The 19,649-nt window shown below is 43.6% G+C and overlaps 1 protein-coding gene and 1 long non-coding RNA gene across 25 annotated transcripts in view, besides 3 other annotated features; one reads left to right on the top strand and one right to left on the bottom strand.

Annotated features, from left to right (window-relative positions):
* Positions 1 to 14,674, top strand: part of TLE1 (TLE family member 1, transcriptional corepressor) — a 105,865-nt gene extending 91,191 nt beyond the window's left edge. For all 23 annotated transcript variants that reach the window (XM_006717259.5, XM_047423817.1, XM_005252163.3 and 20 more), the window contains 6 exons: positions 5,083 to 5,332; positions 7,305 to 7,552; positions 10,529 to 10,676; positions 12,702 to 12,852; positions 13,833 to 13,909; positions 14,052 to 14,674. In XM_006717259.5, coding sequence (XP_006717322.1) covers positions 5,083 to 5,332; positions 7,305 to 7,552; positions 10,529 to 10,676; positions 12,702 to 12,852; positions 13,833 to 13,909; positions 14,052 to 14,159 — 982 coding nt within the window. In that variant the 3' untranslated portion in view covers positions 14,160 to 14,674. The remainder of the gene's footprint in view (positions 1 to 5,082; positions 5,333 to 7,304; positions 7,553 to 10,528; positions 10,677 to 12,701; positions 12,853 to 13,832; positions 13,910 to 14,051) is intronic.
* Positions 1,778 to 2,471: an enhancer, noted in NCBI's record as "OCT4-NANOG-H3K4me1 hESC enhancer chr9:84210801-84211494 (GRCh37/hg19 assembly coordinates)". NCBI's record gives its function as "activates a minimal SCP1, AML or CMV promoter by ChIP-STARR-seq in naive and primed H9 embryonic stem cells {active_cell/tissue: H9 hESC(naive and primed)}" and the evidence as "EXISTENCE:reporter gene assay evidence [ECO:0000049][PMID:30033119]".
* Positions 2,472 to 3,167: an enhancer, noted in NCBI's record as "H3K4me1 hESC enhancer chr9:84210105-84210800 (GRCh37/hg19 assembly coordinates)". NCBI's record gives its function as "activates a minimal SCP1, AML or CMV promoter by ChIP-STARR-seq in primed H9 embryonic stem cells {active_cell/tissue: H9 hESC(primed)}" and the evidence as "EXISTENCE:reporter gene assay evidence [ECO:0000049][PMID:30033119]".
* Positions 4,826 to 6,025: an enhancer, noted in NCBI's record as "MED14-independent group 3 enhancer chr9:84207247-84208446 (GRCh37/hg19 assembly coordinates)". NCBI's record gives its function as "activates an origin of replication core promoter dependent on BRD2, BRD4, P300/CBP and CDK7 cofactors, and independent of MED14, by STARR-seq in HCT116 cells {active_cell/tissue: HCT116}" and the evidence as "EXISTENCE:reporter gene assay evidence [ECO:0000049][PMID:35650434]".
* LOC105376106 (uncharacterized) lies at positions 8,247 to 10,682 on the bottom strand. Of its 2 annotated transcripts, none has more exons than XR_929992.3 (2): positions 10,481 to 10,682; positions 8,247 to 8,849 (listed from the first exon to the last, which is right to left on the bottom strand). It is a non-coding gene; the product is annotated as an uncharacterized LOC105376106 (long non-coding RNA). The 2 variants fall into 2 exon arrangements; XR_929993.3 differs by having other exon boundaries at positions 8,247 to 8,454.
* Positions 14,675 to 19,649: the final 4,975 nt, after the last annotated feature.

Raw genomic sequence — 19,649 nt, 5'->3', positions numbered from 1 at the left:
GCGGCGTGTACTTGGGAGGGAAGCGGTGCTGTTCTAGCGGGAGGGAACAGTTTGTGCGCAACTTGGAGATGTGACAGCATGTGATATTTTAGGGGACTGGCCTGTTGTCCTGTGTGGCTGGGAGTTTAAGGTCACATGAAGTAAGACTTGTTGGCACTAAATTGTAAAGGGCTTCATGAGCCCTAAAGAGCTTGAAGAGCGAATGAAGGTTTTTGACACGATCAGATTTTTGATCCTTGTTAATATAGCTAACAATTTCACATCCAGAGTGCCAAGTCCGTAGGCAGCGGGGCTTGACCACAGCCGTCCTCTCTGGGGTCTGTGGTTCTTCATTATTGTTTACTTGATTCTGCCACTGCAGTTCCTATTTCCAGGAAACCAACAACCCTGTAAACACCTGTTTTCCTTTGACCACAGAACACAGCATAGTTTTATTAACAGGAGCCTGGTCTGCTAGGAAAAAACAACCTGCCCCCTTGGAACACAGTCTTGTTTTCCAGTTCACCACAGCTGCGAAGGAGCCCGGTGGGGACTCTTTGCTTTTAGTTCCTTCACCTCTGCTGTGTGCCCAGTAAATGAAAAGCCCCTTGCTCTTAATGGGTTTTTATATCATTCATGTTTTACATCTGTGAAGTCGAGTGGGCTTTATTCTTTTCGATTCTGACACCAGACTTCAGAAGCAGAAGCGATCCTGATCTGTAGGAGCTTGATTCAGAAAGCTAGGTGGGGGCTGGGTCTCAGTTCTGAGGCTTTCTGAGATGCAGGTGGGCTTCGCTGTATGGCCCCTAAGGAGGGATCCAGGACTGACTGTCTGCCCTGCAGTTTGCCACGATTCTATCCAAACGTCCATCTCTACTCTTTGGGCGTTTGTTCTAGTCTTTGCCAACTGCCATTTCCCCCACTCTCACCTTTGATGACTTAAGAATTTTGTATTTTTTGTTGCCTCATCACTGCCCTTGTGCTTTCCTGATCCCCACCCTGCGTCTTCCTCCCTTTCCGCATTCCCTGACCCACATACTTGTCCACTGGTTGAGATAAAGCCCTCAATTCAACGTATCTTCACTTGGCTTTTTTTTAAGTCGTGGTGGTGCGATAACAATACTGTCATTTCCTGAAGACTCACTGCAGGTGTCAAGTGCTGTGTTAAGTGTTTTGCAGCTGTTACCACTTTAATCCTTACAGCAACCCCTGCGACCTCTGTGTTTTATTATTATTCCTATCTTATGGATCACGAAACAGACACATTCTAGACTGCAGGCTGGCTGATTGGCAAGACCGCAGTTGACGTAGCCAGAGAACCAGAGAGAGGTTCATTTAACAGCAAAGTTTGGGCACTTGATTTGCCTGTGGACCTAATCTAATGTGTTAACTGGTTACGAGCCTTCCCCTCGACTTCCTCTTGAATAAGTAAATGAATCTAAACTTTAAATATTGGAATACCATACACATACAGAAAAGTGCATGAATCATACATGTCTAGCTCAGTGACTTTTCACCAAAGGCAGCCACCTGTGTAACCAGCCCTTGGATCAAGGAACAGAGCAGGATCATTGCCCAGAAACCCCTCCCATGCCCCTTGCAGTCACCAAGGTTAACCACCACCTTGACTTTCAATACTGCAGATGAATTTTGCCTGTGTTCGAAATTCTAGAAATGCGGTCATTTCCATGTCCATTATTTTGTATCTGGCTTCATTCTGAATTCAGGTGTGAGCGATATTCATGAATGCTCACTATCTGTTTATACATTCCTCTTTCTGATTGGTTTTACTTTTCCTAGTTCCTCAACCAGTAGAGAAAGTTAAGTTTCCTTCTGGGATCCCTTCACCATGGTCATGATGAGCCCTCAGTGTGGCCTTTTATTGAAAAAGCTCTGTTATTATTGTAGGTGAATAATTTCCTCCCCTGGTTTTTTCCTTCCAGTTGATCCCTCCTAAAGGCCCATCCACCCTTTGTGTTGCTCTGGCGTGTTCATTTGATTTGGCTCTCCAGCACAGCAGGCAGCACCAGCTTCCTGCGAGGCCCCCTGTGACTGATGTATTAACATCCATATGGGCTTCCCGTGGGACGGATGAGTGTTCACAGCTTCTGACAGCAGCTCGCTGCATTGTGAATCAATTTTAAATTGCCTCCATATGATGATCGCAGGCCTCCTGTGCAGTTTAAAGAAGAGGACACCTGGGAGAGAAGTGGGTGTCTTCCAAAGATCAGCAGACAGATCTCCCGTCTGTTACTCGGTGCATCTATTTAATCTGGAACATTTAACTCTATGATAAGCAGGCTTCCAGTTGGAGGAAGATAAAATCTCCTTTCTCTGAAAAATCTGAGATTGATGAAAGGGTGCCTCATGGAAACCTGGCCTTACCTGGAGGCGCCCAGCTTGATTTGTGGTACACAGAGAAAAACTAATCCTCACATGTGTAATTTCTCTCATGGCACCGAGATCTTTGAGAAGCAGTTTCTCCATCTTAAACACCATCCTTTAAATCATGTGCAACTCAATTGTTTTACTTTTATTTTTTAATTTTTTTTTTTTTTTTTTTGAGACAGAGTCTCTGTCGCCCAGGCTGGAGTGCAGTGGCACAATCTCGGCTCACCACAAGCTCCGCCTCCCAGGTTCACGCCATTCTCCTGCCTCAGCCTCCCGAGTAGCTGGGACTACAAGCGCCCGCCACCATACCCGGCTGATTTTTTTGTATTTTTAGTAGAGATGGGGTTTCACTCTGTTAGCCAGGATGGTCTTGATCTCCTGATCTCGTGATCCGCCCGCCTTGGCCTCCCAGAGTGCTGGGATTACAGGCGTGAGCCACCGCGCCCAGCCTCAATTGTTTAATTTTATGGAAATTTACTTGTCATTTCTTCAGTATCACCTGGCAATTTTTTTGTTGTTTTTGGACCCAGAGTATGGAGCCTGATTCTGAGTCATAGAACTTGGCTACTGGACTTTGTTCGTTGAGCATTCTTCAAAGCCTAGAATTCTTGTAGGACATGAATAGACTTAAACTCCCATAGTTCTGTGGCAGTCTTCAAGGGCAACAAAATGCTATTTGATTATGACTCCAAGTATCCCATAATAAGTGGCATAGGTTCCTGTTCAACTAACTATAATGTGCATGTTGAAATATCATGTGGACTCGATATATTGCTAAGGACACCAAATAATCCTGTTGGATAAAAAATGAGATTGAGTGGTTTGGTGATGTGAGGGCTTTGAGCTATATTGTTTTTATATGTGTATTTATTCCCCAGGACAGTCTCCATGGTTCCCATTATACGTGCTTATTCATTCAAATTAAGAGTAACATTAAGGATTTGGGCCAAAAAGCTATTTACTATTAGTTACTGGAACCAATTTGCCAGCAGATAACAGATTGAGATTATGTCCTGTGATTGAGTGGAGGGGAAGTTTAAAAGTCTTCATGTGTCTGATATTTTGCTTTTATGGAGGGAAGATAATAGCATGCATTTTATTTTCAAGCAAATGTATGTGGGTTTTAAGTGCAGGGTGCTAGAGACCTGGCATAATCGGTTTTCAGTTTTGTGCTTGCTAAGTTACTTTACAAAATTTGAGTTTGTATTAAAATGAAAATTTAAGCTCTGTGTTAGTACTCATGGTGTTTACATTATATTTAAAGCTGCCAATGACAAGCTCCAGAAAGGGCCCAGACTTTCTCGAGGGTAATGGGAAGGAGGAAGCAGTGCATACTTCACTTATTGTTTATGGTTTGAACTTCTAGCTCTCTTAGTGATTTCAAGTTAAGAAAGTGGAAGTAGTGGTCTTCAAAGTAGAATGTGCATAATTTTTTTTTTTTTTAAGACGTAGTCTTGCTCTTGTCGCCTAGGCTGGAGTGCAGTGGCGCGATCTCATTGTTCTCATTGTCCAACTCCCATTTATGAGTGAGAACATGCAGGGTTTGGTTTTCTGTTCCTGTGTTAGTTTGCTGGGAATGATGGTTTCCAGTTTCATCCATGTCCCTGCAAGGGACATGAACTCATCCTTTTTTTTATGGCTGCATAGTATTCCATGGTGTATATGTGCCACATTTTCTTTATCCATTCTGTCATTGATGGGCATTTGGGTTGGTTCCAAGTCTTTGCTATCCAGCAATTGATTTCTGTCTTTGAAATCAACTTGTGGCCCAGAGGGGCCGTAGGAGCACCAGTCATCTTGCTCTTAGCTCAGGCAGTGGGAAGGAAGAAGAGAAGAGGGCAAGTATGCTCTCTCCCTATTTATTTTTTTAGAGCAGTTATAGGTTCTTGGCAAAATAGAGTGGAAAGTTACAGAGAGTTCCCATATCCCCCATCCCTCTCCCCTCTTTCAAGTTCAGAGCTTCCTCAAAATGCCATCCAACAGCTTCTTCTTACACCTCATTGGTCAGAACATAGGCAGGCTGGGCTAAAGGAGACCGGGGAAGAGTAGTTTTTTAGCTGCACACTTTGCTGTTTTATATAATGGCGTTCCTGACCAAGGTAGGCAAGGAAGATTGTTGAGTAGGAAACCTAAAATCTCTGTTTACAGCCATATAAGATAATCTCTTATTTTCTCTTCCTTAAGCAAGAGAAAGTTGAAGTCCATACCATAAACTGGTATTTTTAGAAAGCTGTTTTTTTGGAGGTTGTTTTTGCTGTTGAAATATATCTACTCTGTTTAATTATTATTAGTTCTTAAGGGCTTCATCTTTAGCAGGGAAAACAATCATTTAAAATTATACTAAGAAATCATACAATTACACAAGATACATGGAAGGAGGTATTTTATGTTCATTTGGAAGTACATTAAGTGTTTTATAATGAGATTTGAGGGAATGCTTTACAGAATGGGTAAGAACAATTTAAAACCCTTAAAAAATTTTACATACAGTTCAATATATATGTCATTTGGTACACGCTAGATTTCTGCTATTAATTATTTTAAATTTGCACCAGCAGTAAATGCTTCAATTTGTATTGATTTCAAAGGAAACTATACAAGAGAATCTTTCCTTTTTTTCATCTTTTTCATAGTCGTAGCACATTGCCGAGATAGGGATTGCTTCCTCTGTAAATGTGTTTTCTGTCTTCTCTCCAATCGTTTTTCCAAAAGTGCATACTCCTTCCACGTTACTGCAGACGGTCAGATGCAGCCTGTCCCTTTTCCCCCCGACGCCCTCATCGGACCCGGAATCCCCCGGCATGCTCGCCAGATCAACACCCTCAACCACGGGGAGGTGGTGTGCGCTGTGACCATCAGCAACCCCACGAGACACGTGTACACAGGCGGGAAGGGCTGCGTCAAGGTCTGGGACATCAGCCACCCTGGCAATAAGAGCCCTGTCTCCCAGCTCGACTGTCTGGTGAGTGAACAGGAACTGGTGCACAAGGGCAATTTCTCCCTGGAGATTCAATAAGGAAATAGCTGTGTGGGCCTGGGTTTTATTCCCATTATGAGGAAATAGAAGCCCCTTCTGTTTCCTGTGTTGGTTATTTAACCCCCTCGGCTCCCCATTTAAATGCGAAGGTTTCATTTGTTGCTGTTGTACTGGCTAAATCCCAGAGTTGATGGATTTCTTTTTAAAAAATATTTTACAGTGGTTTACAGAGGCTCTCCTCATGTATGGATGTGTATTACAAAAGAGAGTTTCCCATTTAATGGACAAAAGCACAACTGGGCCTGGACTCTGATCCCTGCCATCCACTCGTTTTTTAATTGACCTACAGCCTTTAGATAAATATAGAATAGTAAATATTTGATAACATGGCATAAAAACCATTCTGAACAGGGTCTGTGTTTTTAAGGGAGACCTGAGAGAGCTGGTTAGGTTTTATGGCCTTAACTTCAGGAAAGGGTTAAAGGCTGTCACTGCAAAGACCCGGGGCAGCCATCAACGAAAGAGAGCAGTGAGAATGCTTTCCCAGAGTACCTAAGCCACGTCCGCTCAGAGCCTGAGAATACCATTTAGCATTTTTCAGGGACATAAAACATGTTGGGACATGTTCGGATCTCTTTTTTCTTTTTTCTTTGAGACGGAGTCTTGCTCTGTCGCCCAGGCTGGAGTGCAGTGGCCGGATCTCGGCTCACTGCAGGCTCCGCCTCCGGGGTTTACGCCGTTCTCCTGCCTCAGCCTCCCAAGTAGCTGGGACTACGGGCGCCCACCACCACGCCCGGCTAATTTTTTGTATTTTTAGTAGAGACGGGGTTTCACCATGTTAGCCAGAATGGTCTCGATCTCCTGACCTTGTGATCCGCCCGCCTTGGCCTTCCAAAGTGCTGGGATTATAGGCGTGAGCCACCGCGCCCGGCCATGTTCCGATTTCTAAACCATAACCCCAGGATTTACAGAGCACATACCACTGGCCTTAAGCAGACTCCGAGCTGCCCTGCCCTGCCCTGCCCTGGTGTGGTGTCTGCCTGCACTCTGCTGTTGCAGATGGTGCCACGTACCCACTGCCTGCCTGGAAAATTGTAAGGATTCCAGAGAAGGTGTTTCCAAAAAGCAGAGTGGCGGTGTTTTGGAAACACAGACTTTTTTTAGAGTAGTTATTAGTGCATTTTTTAAAAAAACCAAATAACTTCAAAATGTCTTCATTCATGAAATTCTTATTTAAATATGGCCCAATATTCTATAGCAGTAGGAGTATCCTTTGTTGAAGTCATGTGCTTAAAGTTTCTTTAATCTTTGAAAGATAATCCATCGTTAAAAGCATGTAAGCAAACTTTAGCCATATCTGCATCTTTCAGGAGTTGATCATATGAGGGCCCCCCACCCACAGCCCCTTCATATGTGTCGGTTTTGATGGAAAGATGCCTGCTTTTATCAGGTTCTTTGGCCTTTGCATTGAGGGGCTTAAGTGTAACAGCAGCCACATGACAACTTGAGAAAGCAGCTCTGGTAAATTCTTAGCAAGAATCCTTCTGACTAATGAGGTAATGTGCTCAGCATAACGAAGACCGAAACATAGAGGATGGGCCTGCAGTTTCCAAGTGGTAAATAATGCAGGGTGATGAGGTAGATTTATAAACTAGCTTGGAAAAGTGGTTTCTTCTCAGGGAACTATGTGTACACCTGTACCTCATACCTAGATAGTTTCAGCTCTGTGATGCAGGACACCAGAAGCAGTTACCTAAGCTCCTGTGAATTTGTTTTGTTTACTATTTTGAAGGAGACAGTTGTACTTGGACCCCAATCTTGACTAGAGAACTCTTGCTCTGTTAGAGTGTCCATGAAACACCACTCTTAACTCAAAAAACCAAGACAGCCATTAGAGAACATGGTGCTATGATTGCTCGGTAATTCATTATAGCAATGAATTATGTTTATTCTACAGAACAGAGACAATTATATCCGTTCCTGTAAATTGCTACCCGATGGCTGCACTCTCATAGTGGGAGGGGAAGCCAGTACTTTGTCCATTTGGGACCTGGCGGCTCCAACCCCGCGCATCAAGGCGGAGCTGACGTCCTCGGCCCCCGCCTGCTACGCCCTGGCCATCAGCCCCGATTCCAAGGTCTGCTTCTCATGCTGCAGCGACGGCAACATCGCTGTGTGGGATCTGCACAACCAGACACTAGTGAGGTGAGCAAAGATGGTCGTCTAAGGAGGGGTTCGCTTCTTTAGCAGCTGGGCCTATCACCTCTGCTTCTCTCTGGCTGCCTGCAGCCCACACAATAAGAGCCTCTTGAATGCCAGGCATGGGGCTAGGTGATGAGGGAACAAAGACAACTGTGTTGCTGCCTTTGGGGGGCTTACAGTCTTATTACTATGCCTGGTGTCACCCGAGACTTTCTATCTCCTTAATGTGCCAATTCTTCAGCCCACATACAGACTCCAAACTTGTTCTAAAAATATTTCTGGCTTTTGCCAAGGGGTGGCCTAATGTGGATTACACGGCAGCACAAAAGGCCCTTGATACTAGATGTTTTGGGCTTTGGCTAGAACTTGGTGCAGACAAGAGCCAACTGATAAAAGATAACAGAAAATCAACAAAGGGACATGAGAAGAGGAGATTCTGTGAATTTTGCCTACAAAATGATTTTAAAGTATCTCAATAATGAAATAGACCTGCCCAGGGGTGGTTCCACCCAGGAGCCCGCAGGGCTCTGCCTGGCCTTCTGGCATCAGCCCTGTCACCTTAGCAGCAGCTGCAGTTCTGGTACCCATGTGTCTCTCCTCAGCTCCCCCGCCAAATGCTCCCTTCAGAAGTCAGTGCTCACACCAGAGCTGTTCTCAAAAAGTCTTTTTAAAGTAAGCATGAATGAAACATGAAAGGTAAAATGAGTACATGTTTTACTCTTGTTTCATCTTTGCTGGGAAGCCGTCCCTGCGGATGGTGCAGTTTGGGGTCTGTGGCTTGTTTGGTAAGTCCCCTCTCATGCTGCACAGAGAAGGGACGGGCTCCAGAAGTCATCATGACAGCTCACTCTCTTCAAACCTCCGCTGTAGAAATCCATGAAGTGTCATTGAGCCGGGCCCGGTCCCTGCGTGTGGGTGACAGTGCGGCAGTTACTTTCCTCTTCTGTTTGCTGGGTAGTGTAGGTGAGCAAAATGGAATGATGGAGCCAGGGCCGAACGCCCTCTCCACCTTTTATCCTAGCAAAAGTTACTTGTTTTTTTCTTTTTTTAAAACTCCATAAGTAGCACTTTCAAAATATCAATTCTAAGCACTTTTCAAATATTCCTCCACTTAGTTCTCATAACGTCTGTCCTGCTATTTGCCCCATTTTATAGAGGAAGTGCCTGAGGCTCAGAGAGGGTAAGTTACTGGCTTCAGGTCACACAGTCAGATGTGGTGGAGCCAAGTTGAGGCCCAGGCATTCTGCTCTCGTCTGTACTCTGAACCCTTGCTCCGTGCCGGCTCCTGGGGAGTAAATACCTGTTGGATAGAATGGGGTAGCGTCTTACAAATCTTTCTCTGGACCACTCACAGGTGGCTAGTGGCTGCTGCATGTAATAGGGCCATGTAAAGCCTATTGAATGTCTTTGTATCCACTGTAACCCAGCACGTTCTGAACAGTCATAGGATGTGCCTGAGAGTAATGCTGGAGTATAGTATATGGACGGAGAGAGGGCAGAGGGATGGGGGAGCAGCTGCCAGGTACTGTATGTCAGCAGAGGAAGGTGTTTTCAGTCAAGGAGGAACAGCGTTTCATGAGTTAGAAAGGTCAAAAGAAGTCAGAGGGTCACTGGATTTCCAGAGCTGTTTGAAGGGAAGGAAAGCAACACTTTCACCAAGTGAAGCAGGGACTGCTCCAGGCCTGGGTGTTCTGTGGGGATGTCTGGGAAGCAAGCGGAAACATTGGAGGTCCAGCTGCACGGCCGCAGGAGAGAGGACTCAACCTGGATCCTAAAGTGCAGAAGTTGGGGATGGCTTGCAGAGAGAAGATTTTAAAAGTGATGGTTCACGTCTTGGCTTAGAATTTAGGGCAGTAGTGGTGCTTTTTCCTTCCCTTGCACTCTTTAAAATCCAAGCTCAGGTTAAAAGTTTGGAGCTCTACAGGAATGATAAGGTGTGGGGATCCTGGAGGAAGAAGCAGCATGGTAACTTTCTTCTCAGTGTTGAAATTCCCACGCAGTTCTTTACTGGATCCCGCCTGCTTCTGAGGGTGGGTCTAGACTTTGCTCGCCTTTTCTGGCTGCCTCCCCCACCACCTTCCTCTCAGCATGCAGAACTGAGTCCACCAGTCACCGTCCCTGCTGGGGCTTACACTGACCTCCCCTCAGCAGCTCTGCTAGTTGCCTTGCACAGCATCTGTGCTCAGCAGATCCCTGTTGGCTGATCGTTTCTGATGGCGATTTTTGAATGAAGCACAAGGTTCTTTAAAGAACAACCTTGTGCTCCGCTTGGAGGCAGAGTCTTGCTGAGGTGCCCGTGGGTCTGCCTCAGCAATTACCTGTGTCTCTGCCCAATGCCTCTGAGGTCAGGAGGCCGGCATGCGTGACCCTTTGTCTCTGGGAGTCCAGATTTCCTAATGCAGGGCTCTTTCTAACACAGAAAGCAAGGTTGAGTAAATACATGAGCTCATGCTCTGTTGGCACGTAGGGCATTGCTGTGTTGATTCACTCATGGAAACAGGAATGCTTCTGTACACCCTGTGCTTGTAACGTCCCCATTTCTTTCTCTCACGGACTCAGGCCTGCACGATTAAAGAACAGACCTTTATCTTCCCATAAGGAATACAATCGGGATTTTGTGTGTTTGTCTTTTATTTTCTATTTAACAATTAAACACTTTTCCAGACCTGGAAAGAATTTTACCTTCCAGACGGTTTTGTCAGAGTAGCATATTTAAGTTCTGGGTAGTGACCTGCAGTGGCATTCCATTTCTTTAGCACTTGGATCGTGGAAAACAGGGAAAGACAATCGCAGGTGCTGTTTCCCCTCCTCCTCAGGGGAAGGTTAGTTTGATCTTGCACATCAGCAGACACTGGCGGGATCACACACACACACACACACACACACACACACACACACACGGTCCAAAACTAACAACACAACAGTGTTTACCTTGAGCTCTGGCAGGAAATCATTATTCAATCTGGTTTGTTTTATCAGGCAATTCCAGGGCCACACAGACGGAGCCAGCTGTATTGACATTTCTAATGATGGCACCAAGCTCTGGACGGGTGGTTTGGACAACACAGTCAGGTCCTGGGACCTGCGCGAGGGGCGGCAGCTGCAGCAGCACGACTTCACCTCCCAGGTGACTGAGTGGCTTCCGCCTGCCCTGGAGTCTGGGAGGTGGCTGGGGTGTGTCTTCCTCCTCACAACCCTCCCTCCTTTACCCTAGGATGGTAGTGGCTGGACAAACAGATCAGGGCTGAATTTGAGATAACTAATTTAAAAACAATGACCACCACCTCCTCCTTCACGACCCTCCCCCTACCTTCCCCAAAACTAGAGTGGTTTTTAGAATCCTGTAGGTTAAGGTGTGTTCTCTGTTATATTTACATATGAGTTTGTTTAAGGGATTTGTACATTGAAGAATGTATAGTTTTCCTTCAGCAGTGTTTGATCTGTGGCACATATTCTCACCATCTAATGCAGGAGTAGGAGATGATTTTTTGATTCCTAAATAAATAGAACTTGAGAAATCTGCAGAATGTCACTAAGAGTAGAGAAAAGTCACAGCTCCTCTGAAAGTTCATTTATTTACCCCGCACCAGAGAGCTCAAAAAAATGCACAGATACCTCAGTGATACCCATTTTATTCCTCATCCTTTAAAAAATGAACTGGTGGCTGACTAGATTTGCAGACTTTTGAAATAATGTATAAATGGCAACTTTGTAGATTGTGAAAAGTATTTTGATGTCCAATGTCTGAATGTAGACTTGTTTTGGAAAAAACAGTGTTTGCCATTTTAAATGCTTTCTGGTGGTAGAATTGTTCTTTCGATCATGACTTGGCATTTATTTTTTACCTTGTTTTGTAATAAAAATAATTCTACTCAGAAAACTAGGACAGAAACAGAAAACAAGCATATATACTTCTAAATTTCATATTCCTGTTAACATTTTGTTGAGTTTCTTAGAGTCTTGCTGTTTTCACTCTTTCCCAACATAAGCAGGATACAATTTTTGTTCTGCCTTTTTTTAAAACTTCTTAGAGAAATTCTCAAATACATATGAGTACAGCAAATGTCCAAGCATTTATGAAAGCACAGAGAATTGTACAATAAATGCCACATGCCCATCGCTCAGCTTGAAGTTATTTGGCCATATGATAACTCTCGTTCCCACCCCCAGACACTGGATTATTTTAAAATAAACTCTAGCAGCATATCATTGTATCCATAAGCACAGCCATGCACCATATAACCTTTTAGCCAAGGACAGACCGCATATGTGACAGTGGTCCCTTAAGATTATAATACTATATTTTTACTGTACCTTTTCAATGTTTAGATGTATCTGGATGTACAAATACTTCCCGTTATGCTACAGTTGCCTACAGTATTCAGTACAGTAACATGCTGTGCAGGGTTGTAGCCTACAAGCGATAGGCTCCACTCTCTAGGTGTGTGTAAGTGCACTCTCTGAAGTTCACACAATAAAGTCACCTAACAAGGCCAGGCACGGAGGCTCACGCCTGTAATCCCAGCACTTTGGGAGGCCGAGGCGGGTGGATCACAAAGTCAGGAGATCGAGACCATCCTGGCTGGCACGGTGAAACCCCGTCTTTACTAAAAATACAAAAAATTAGCCGGGCGTGGTGGTGGGCGCCTGTAGTCCCAGCTACTTGGGAGGCTGAGGCAGGAGAATGGCGTGAACCCAAGAGGCGGAGCTTGCAGTGAGCCGAGATAACGCCGCTTCACTCCAGCCTGGGCGACAGAGCAAGACTCCGTCTCAAAAAAAAAAAAAAAAAAGTCACCTAACGACACATTTCTCAGAATGTATCCCCCTTGATAGGTGATATATGATCGTATTTCAGTTAGTGTCTCTAAAAGGTAAAGCCTCCTTTAAAATGTACAGATGAATGCCATTATTATTAGGAATCATTTCTTAATTTTATCCCAAAAGACAGAGGGGTTCAAATGTTTCCAGTTTCCTAAAGGTTTTGACACTTGGTTCATCTGCGTTAGATCACTTGCCCTGTGGACCTCCCCACAGTCTGGACTTGGCTGATTACTTCCCCCCATTCTTGCTATTTCCCCACTTTTCACATTGCGTCTTCCCTTCCTAAGTGTATCAGGCGGAATAATGAGTGAGCCTGTCTTGCTCCTTGTAGATCTTCTCCCTGGGGTACTGCCCCACCGGGGAGTGGCTGGCAGTGGGCATGGAGAGCAGCAATGTGGAGGTGCTGCACGTGAACAAGCCTGACAAGTACCAGCTGCACCTGCATGAGAGCTGCGTGCTGTCCCTGAAATTTGCTTACTGTGGTGAGTTCAGCCGAAAGGAAACTGGAGGCCGTTGATGGCCCAAATGGAAAATGCTTCTTAAAAAAATATGGTAGAGATCATAATCTGGAAAAAATGTTCTCCGAGCAGCTGGATGCAATAATTCTATTGTTTTAATATGCCCTTCAGAGCACAGCAATGTCTGTTTCAGTCTGTTTTGCTAATTTGAGAAAAGTCAGCAGGCAATGTGATTGCCTAATACACGGTTTGGACACAAGTTTGTTTTGGAGGGGTTGGGAGACGACAATGAGTTTCTACTCTGAAGAGGGGTGGGCGGGAATTTATTGAAGAATGGAGCAGGGGCAGTGGAAGTCATTATGAGCTGGCCATGATGAGGAATCCAGGGTTAGAGAAGTCGATATTTAGGTATACGCAGACACTTAGTTACACTCTACTCTACAGTGAGGATGAAGAGGGAAGAAGTTCATGTGGTGACCCTTCTTGTGTGCTGCAGATGGGCAGATATCTGTTCACAGTATGCATAGATGGATGGATGGATGGATGGATGGATGGATGGATGGGTGGATGAGTGCCTATCACTTATTGAGCATTTTTCTTCATGCTATATGATGTGACTGGCATTTTACTTAAGTTGGATGTTTAATCCTTTAATTCCCATTAAAGATGGGAATCTTTAATCCCATTTTATCATGAGGAGACTGACTAAAATAGAACACATTCTTCATTGATTTCTATATTTGAGGGTTACCGTGTGTTGGATATGATGCTACTAGTCCTGTATCCAGTGACTAAGGAGGCTGATACCTCTTAGATTATACCCAAGATCACTGATAAATCACTGAGGAGCCCAGATTAAAACCTCTGTTCATATCATGGACCAGTCCTTAGGGCATGATAGTTCATATATTAAAAATGTTCTTAGTTTGATTAAGTCCAAGTTGCTAATTGTATAGTAGGAATTTTAACCTTGTGAAAACTAGATATTCCTTTGCTAATTCTAGGTAAATGGTTTGTGAGTACTGGAAAAGATAACCTCCTCAATGCTTGGCGGACCCCCTATGGAGCCAGCATATTCCAGGTGAGTAAGTACTCCTCACCTAGATCCACAGTTTGACCACAGTGTCGCCTCTGAAGCCAGGAGTGAAGGTGCCTCCGAGGGAGCAGGGCCTCTGAGTACCGTTGTTCCACATTAAACACATGTCCATTGTTTTCTCTTCCAGTCCAAAGAGTCCTCGTCAGTGCTTAGCTGTGACATCTCTGTGGATGATAAGTACATAGTCACTGGCTCGGGGGACAAGAAGGCTACAGTCTATGAAGTCATCTACTGAAAACATTATGTGGTTTAACGTTTATAGTTGAATTGGGCCAAAATGTTTCGAATTTATAGAAATAGAAAAGTTGTAACTTTAAAAGAGAAAAAAAATTACAAACACCTGTTTCCAAACCTTGACAGAAAACTACTTTGAGTCTACAAAGAGGAGGCGACAAGTCCATCAGCAGAAAGTCACCTGTCTACATAGACCAAATGGAGCACCAAGGCCAAGCGGACAGAGGGGCCATGGGTTGTAGGATTGAGGAACGGAATCTGCCGACTCACATGACAGCCCATTCTTTCTTTCTGGGTGATCTGGGGATCACGCCTTGCCCAAGTGTGAGATTACCTTTCTGTTCCTTGCAGTTCACCTCACTTTCCGTCCTTTGTAGAGCAGTGGTGTCTCCAATGAACTTGTTTCCTGGTTTTGCATCTTGTGAAATGTTTTTTTGTATTTTTGTTGAAGGTTAAACATTTGTATAAATTGTAAATATATTTGGTTTATTACAGTAAAGGCTTTAGTACCAATAAGTGGTTTTCCTTTTCTTTCTTTATTGTTTTTTATTAAAGCTTTGGGATCATCAATGTGGGTTTTATAAGCAAAGATTATACATTTGTAGAGGAAGTTTTGAATTGCACTGCTTATTTTATAAATATATTTGGTGGTAGGCTCCCATTGCATTAGAACCTAATCCTTCACAAGCTTGAGTTACTGGGAGCTCAAGACTAGGAATTGTGAGTAATTGAAGGTTTACTAATGACAGTTTTCTTTAGGAAAGTAAAATTACTTCATCAAGATTTGTTCTTTTGTTATGATACTATTGTGATTCAAGGTCAAAGATTAAAGCTCTACTTTTTTCTGGTGATTCATTGGAAGGCAAAATATTCCTTTTTCTAGGAAGGCCCAATCTCCTCTTCCTTTTCCCTTTCTCTTTCCCTTTCTCTCTTTCTTTCGTTCTCTCTCTCTCTCTCCTTTTTTTTTTTTTTTTTTTTTGTTTAAAGATTTGAGTTCACATTGTTTGTTACCCAGGTTGGAGTGCAATGGCATGATCACATCTCACTGCAGCCTTGAACTCCTGGGCTTAAGCAATCCTCCCACCTCAGCCTCCTGAATAGCCAGGCTAATTTTTTTTTTTTTTTTAATTTTTATTTTTTGTAGAGGCAGACTCTCACTTTGTTGCCCAGGCTGGTCTCGACCTCCTGGCCTCAAGTGATCCTCCCGCCTTGGTCTCCTAAAGTGCTAGGATTAAAGGCATGACCCACTACATGCTGGCCTCAGTAGTTTCAAATCTGTATTCTCTCTCTTCACAAGCTTCACTTGGGTTTTGTGTTATGATCTATGATACACAGAAAGCTGCAGAGTTCATTAACCTGTAAAAGGTGGAAAGTCAGCTGGTTTTGTCTTCATTAATACTTATTTGGTCTATTATATTAAGTTACTTAAGCCAACCATACCCATCACTTCTCCGCATTCTTCTCATTAAGGCCCTCCCTGCAGCTCTAGCCATTATTATCTATCATTAGTCTTTGGTCTTTATCTTTGTGGACATGCTTTTACTAATGTGATTAGATGAAATCTGTAATCCTGGGCTTTTAATAAGTTACCATCCATGTTTCCTCCTGAAAAAGCTACATGGCTTATTTTTTATATACTATATACTATTATACACCATTATTTTCTATTATTTTATAAAATAATAGCTAATAAATTTAAGGCAGTGTTCCCGGCTGTTTAAAAATAGCACCTAAGGAATTTTTAATGTTCTTGTTCTCTTATGATCCAGCGAGTTGTTGGCAGTTTGTCTTAATATTTTTCATTTGTTACCAAGACCTTGTTCTTTATATATTCAAAAACATTACTTTGTTTGCTTTTTGCCAAAAAAAAATGTTTATATACTGAGTTAAATATTTTCACTTCTCATTAAGTGAATGGCAAACCCCCATTACTAAAGCTGATTATGCTGTCATCCCTTCCTTGTATAACGAAGTAGGTTTCTATCTGACAGACTCAGATGGCTTGTTAATGGAGTAATGGAGTGTTTATCTTTTCTGTTCTCTCTCCCTCCCCGCCTTACTTCCCTATTTTCTCTAATACCAACAATGAAGTAGCTTAAAGACCATTAGAGTTTGTCTCCCTCCTACCTGTGACCCGGAGACCCAGGCCCACAATGCAGCTCTGCACTTGTAAGGCCTCTCTAGTTGCCACCACTTCCAGCCAGCAGTGGGGAAAGAGCAGAAGTCCAGGGAAAGCGATGTGTTTTTAAGCAGGTGACTAGAATTTGTTCCATCACTTTTATTTGCCAGTCCGTCGGCAGGGAGTTTGTCACATGGTGGCCACAAGGGAGACTGGAAATGCGATGTCTTGCTTTGCAGCCATATGCCCGTGGAGAAGGGGGATGCATGTGTGTGGGTTAAAGAGATACTCCCGTTTTCTGTTAGTGGATTTTCTCCCTTCATTTTCCCTCATACTTTATAGTTCCCAAACTTGTGACATTCTTTCTGTAACGGTATTTTTCTGAAACTTTTATCAACTCATAGATCATCTTGAATCTGATGAAGCCACTTCTATTTGATTTTGGAAGAGGCTCTGACTGTGTTGGTGGCAAGAGTCCTGGAGATGACTAGTGCAAGCCCAGCTACAGAAGGGTTAGAGTCTTAGGAAATTGCCCAGACAATTGAGTGTTTCCCACTTGGAAAATGGGAACAGTAAAAATTGTGTCTACCTTTCAGGGTCTGGAGGATGGCGGTAGGTATGAGAACAGGGTTGTGAGTAGTGATTCTCACAAATGCAAGTGCAAGTGGGAGAGCAATTTCTTCCTAAGCTGTGACCGTAGGAGTCACCACTCCTGTCCCCCAGGAGACTGGAATCATGTGATTGTTGAGATCTAGTAAGCCAAATATTTGTATACCTTTTGCCCTGAATATGGGTTACAAAGTAAGTTTCAACAAATTCAGATTCTTTGGTCACCATGTGCCAAGAGGTATGTGGCAGTCTCGCATATAAAAATGTCAGAAGGTGGTTATCATTATCCTCATATAACCAAGGGTCAGGGAAGCTGTGTCCCCATGGCCTCACAGGACAGACCAAATGCAGGTTCTGCCATGAGCCTTGTCTGTGTTCTTTCAAATTTCATACAGTGGGCTGTGATTTTTTTTTTTTTTTTTTTTTTTGAGTTGGAGTCTTGCTCTGTCGCCCAGGCTGGAGTGCAGTGGCACGATCTTGGCTCACTGCAAGCTCTGCCTCCCGGGTTCACGCCATTCTCCTGCCTCAGCCTCCCAGGTAGCTGGGACTACAGGCGCGCGCCACCACGCCCGGCTAATTTTTTGCATTTTTTTTTTAGTAGAGATGGGGTTTCACCGTGTTAGCCAGGATGGTCTCGATCTCCTGACCTCGTGATCCGCCCGCCTCGGCCTCCCAAAGTGCTGGGATTACAGGCGTGAGCCACCGCACCCAGCCAAGTGGGCTGTGATTTTTGTTTTTCCCCCTAGTTCTCCAAATTCCCTCTTCATTTCATTTTAAAGATTTATAATTTGTGGCCGGGCACGGTGGCTCACGCCTGTAATCCCAGCACTTTGGGAGGCCGAGGCGGGCGGATCACGAGGTCAGGAGATCGAGACCATCCTGGCTAACACGGTGAAACCCCGTCTCTACTAAAAATGCAAAAATTAGCTGGGCGTGGTGTCGGGTGCCTGTAGTCCCAGCTACTCGGGAGGCTGAGGCAGGAGAATGGCGTGAACCTGGAACCCGGGAGGCAGAGCTTGCAGTGAGCCAAGATCGTGCCACTGCACTCCAGCCCGTGCGACAGAGCGATACTCCGTCTCAAAAAAATATATAATTTGCACAGTTCCCTTAAGTAGCACTCTTATGTAATATTAGGTATATAAATACGTTCGCGTTCACTAATTTATAACCTAATTTATGTAAATATTTGTTTTCCTTGTTCTTTACCAACAAATCATATATATTTAATATTGATGTTTTAAATCACTCACAGTCTTTACTCATGCCTTGCATGTATGTTTCTACCATGTAACTCATCTATGGAATTGGGTTGAAAAATCAAAGTCCTAGTGAGATTGGTTTTGTAATACTTTTTTCATAGCTAGATGTTTCTAGCACCTATTATATAATAAGGACAAAATATTGCATCAATATAATTACCATTTATTAAGTTTCTGTTGTTTGTGAGGTGATAGGGTAGGGGTTTGACATAAATTCTAATTTTTGTGGTGGCTGATGGGATTTTGATGGGCTCTTTTAAGATATGACTGGTAAATAGCAGCTGCCCCAAAGCTGAGAACATTGATATGGGGATTTTTATTTTTATTTTATTTTTTGTATTTTTTGTAGAGGTGGGGGTTTCACCATGTTGGCCAGGCTGGTCTGGAACTCCTGACCAAGGTAATTTGCCTGCCTTGGCCTCCCAAAGTGCTGGGATTTCAGGAGTGAGCCACCATGCTCAGCCCATATGGGGATTTTTAAAATTACACTTCTGCTAATAGTTTTGACTTTTCCCAGATTTGCCAACAGATCAGAGAAAGGGATCAGATTCTTAATTTCAGCATGTTGTTTAATTCCCTCAAGAGACTGCTGCCTCTGTCATCATGGCGAGGAAGTTGAGTGGTGACATTTCAAACTCTCTGCTCGGGTGCGTGGATTGTTTACTTCTCAAAGATGTCCTCTCTTCATGTGGCAGTGACATCATCAGATCACCACAATTTCAGGCTTCCCTGAGCAAGATGAAGCCATATAAGGGTCATTTTCTGCCCCGGGGAATTTACTATCCAGATATCCAAAGCTTTTTTGCCTCATATTTTAAACTAGCACTTAATAAACAGTTAAATATTTTGTTCTTAATCAGGTTCACGTTTCTGGAGAAGTTGTCAAACTTTTGTCTGCATCAGCATCACTAGTTAAAATTCTGATTTCTAGACCCCAGTCTCAGAGTTTCTGTTTCGGTAGGCCATGTTGGGACCCGAGAATTTGCATTTCTAAAGCGAGTTCCCAGGTGGTCCTGAGACTGCTGGACTGGGGACCACACTTTGAGAACTAGTGATCTGGCATAATAATCTTTACAACAGAGCCATCAATTTAATAAACTGTGAGAGTATATTAATATTTCCTAAAGACTGGAACCCTCTCAAGTATTTGAGAGTTTGAGGCTGAAGATTAAAAGGAAGATGGCAATAAAGTGTAAGGCTTACTGTTTTGAAGTTGCTTGACATCTGTTCTTTGAGTAGTCTCTGCCCAAAACTAACTTTTGAAGCAGAGTACTATAAGAGCCCTACAATAATTGAGTTCTTAAAAATGTTGCTTCTTTCTTAGACATAAATCAATGTGAGTCTGTGGAGGTTTGGAAAACATACCACAAGGACCTAATGTGGAGGCCACAAGAATGTACATGGTGTTTAACTGGAGTGGTGATGCAGAGTTAGAAATCATTCCTTGAAAATTGGAATACCTAACTGTGTAAAACAGTAAGCTGCTGACTTGACAGAGTGTTGT

Source organism: Homo sapiens, chromosome 9 (genome assembly GCF_000001405.40).
Source record: "Homo sapiens chromosome 9, GRCh38.p14 Primary Assembly".
Classification (NCBI taxonomy): domain Eukaryota; kingdom Metazoa; phylum Chordata; class Mammalia; order Primates; family Hominidae; genus Homo; species Homo sapiens.
The sequence above is the reverse complement of the archived record's forward strand: the minus strand, read 5'-3'. Positions and strand labels throughout refer to the sequence as shown.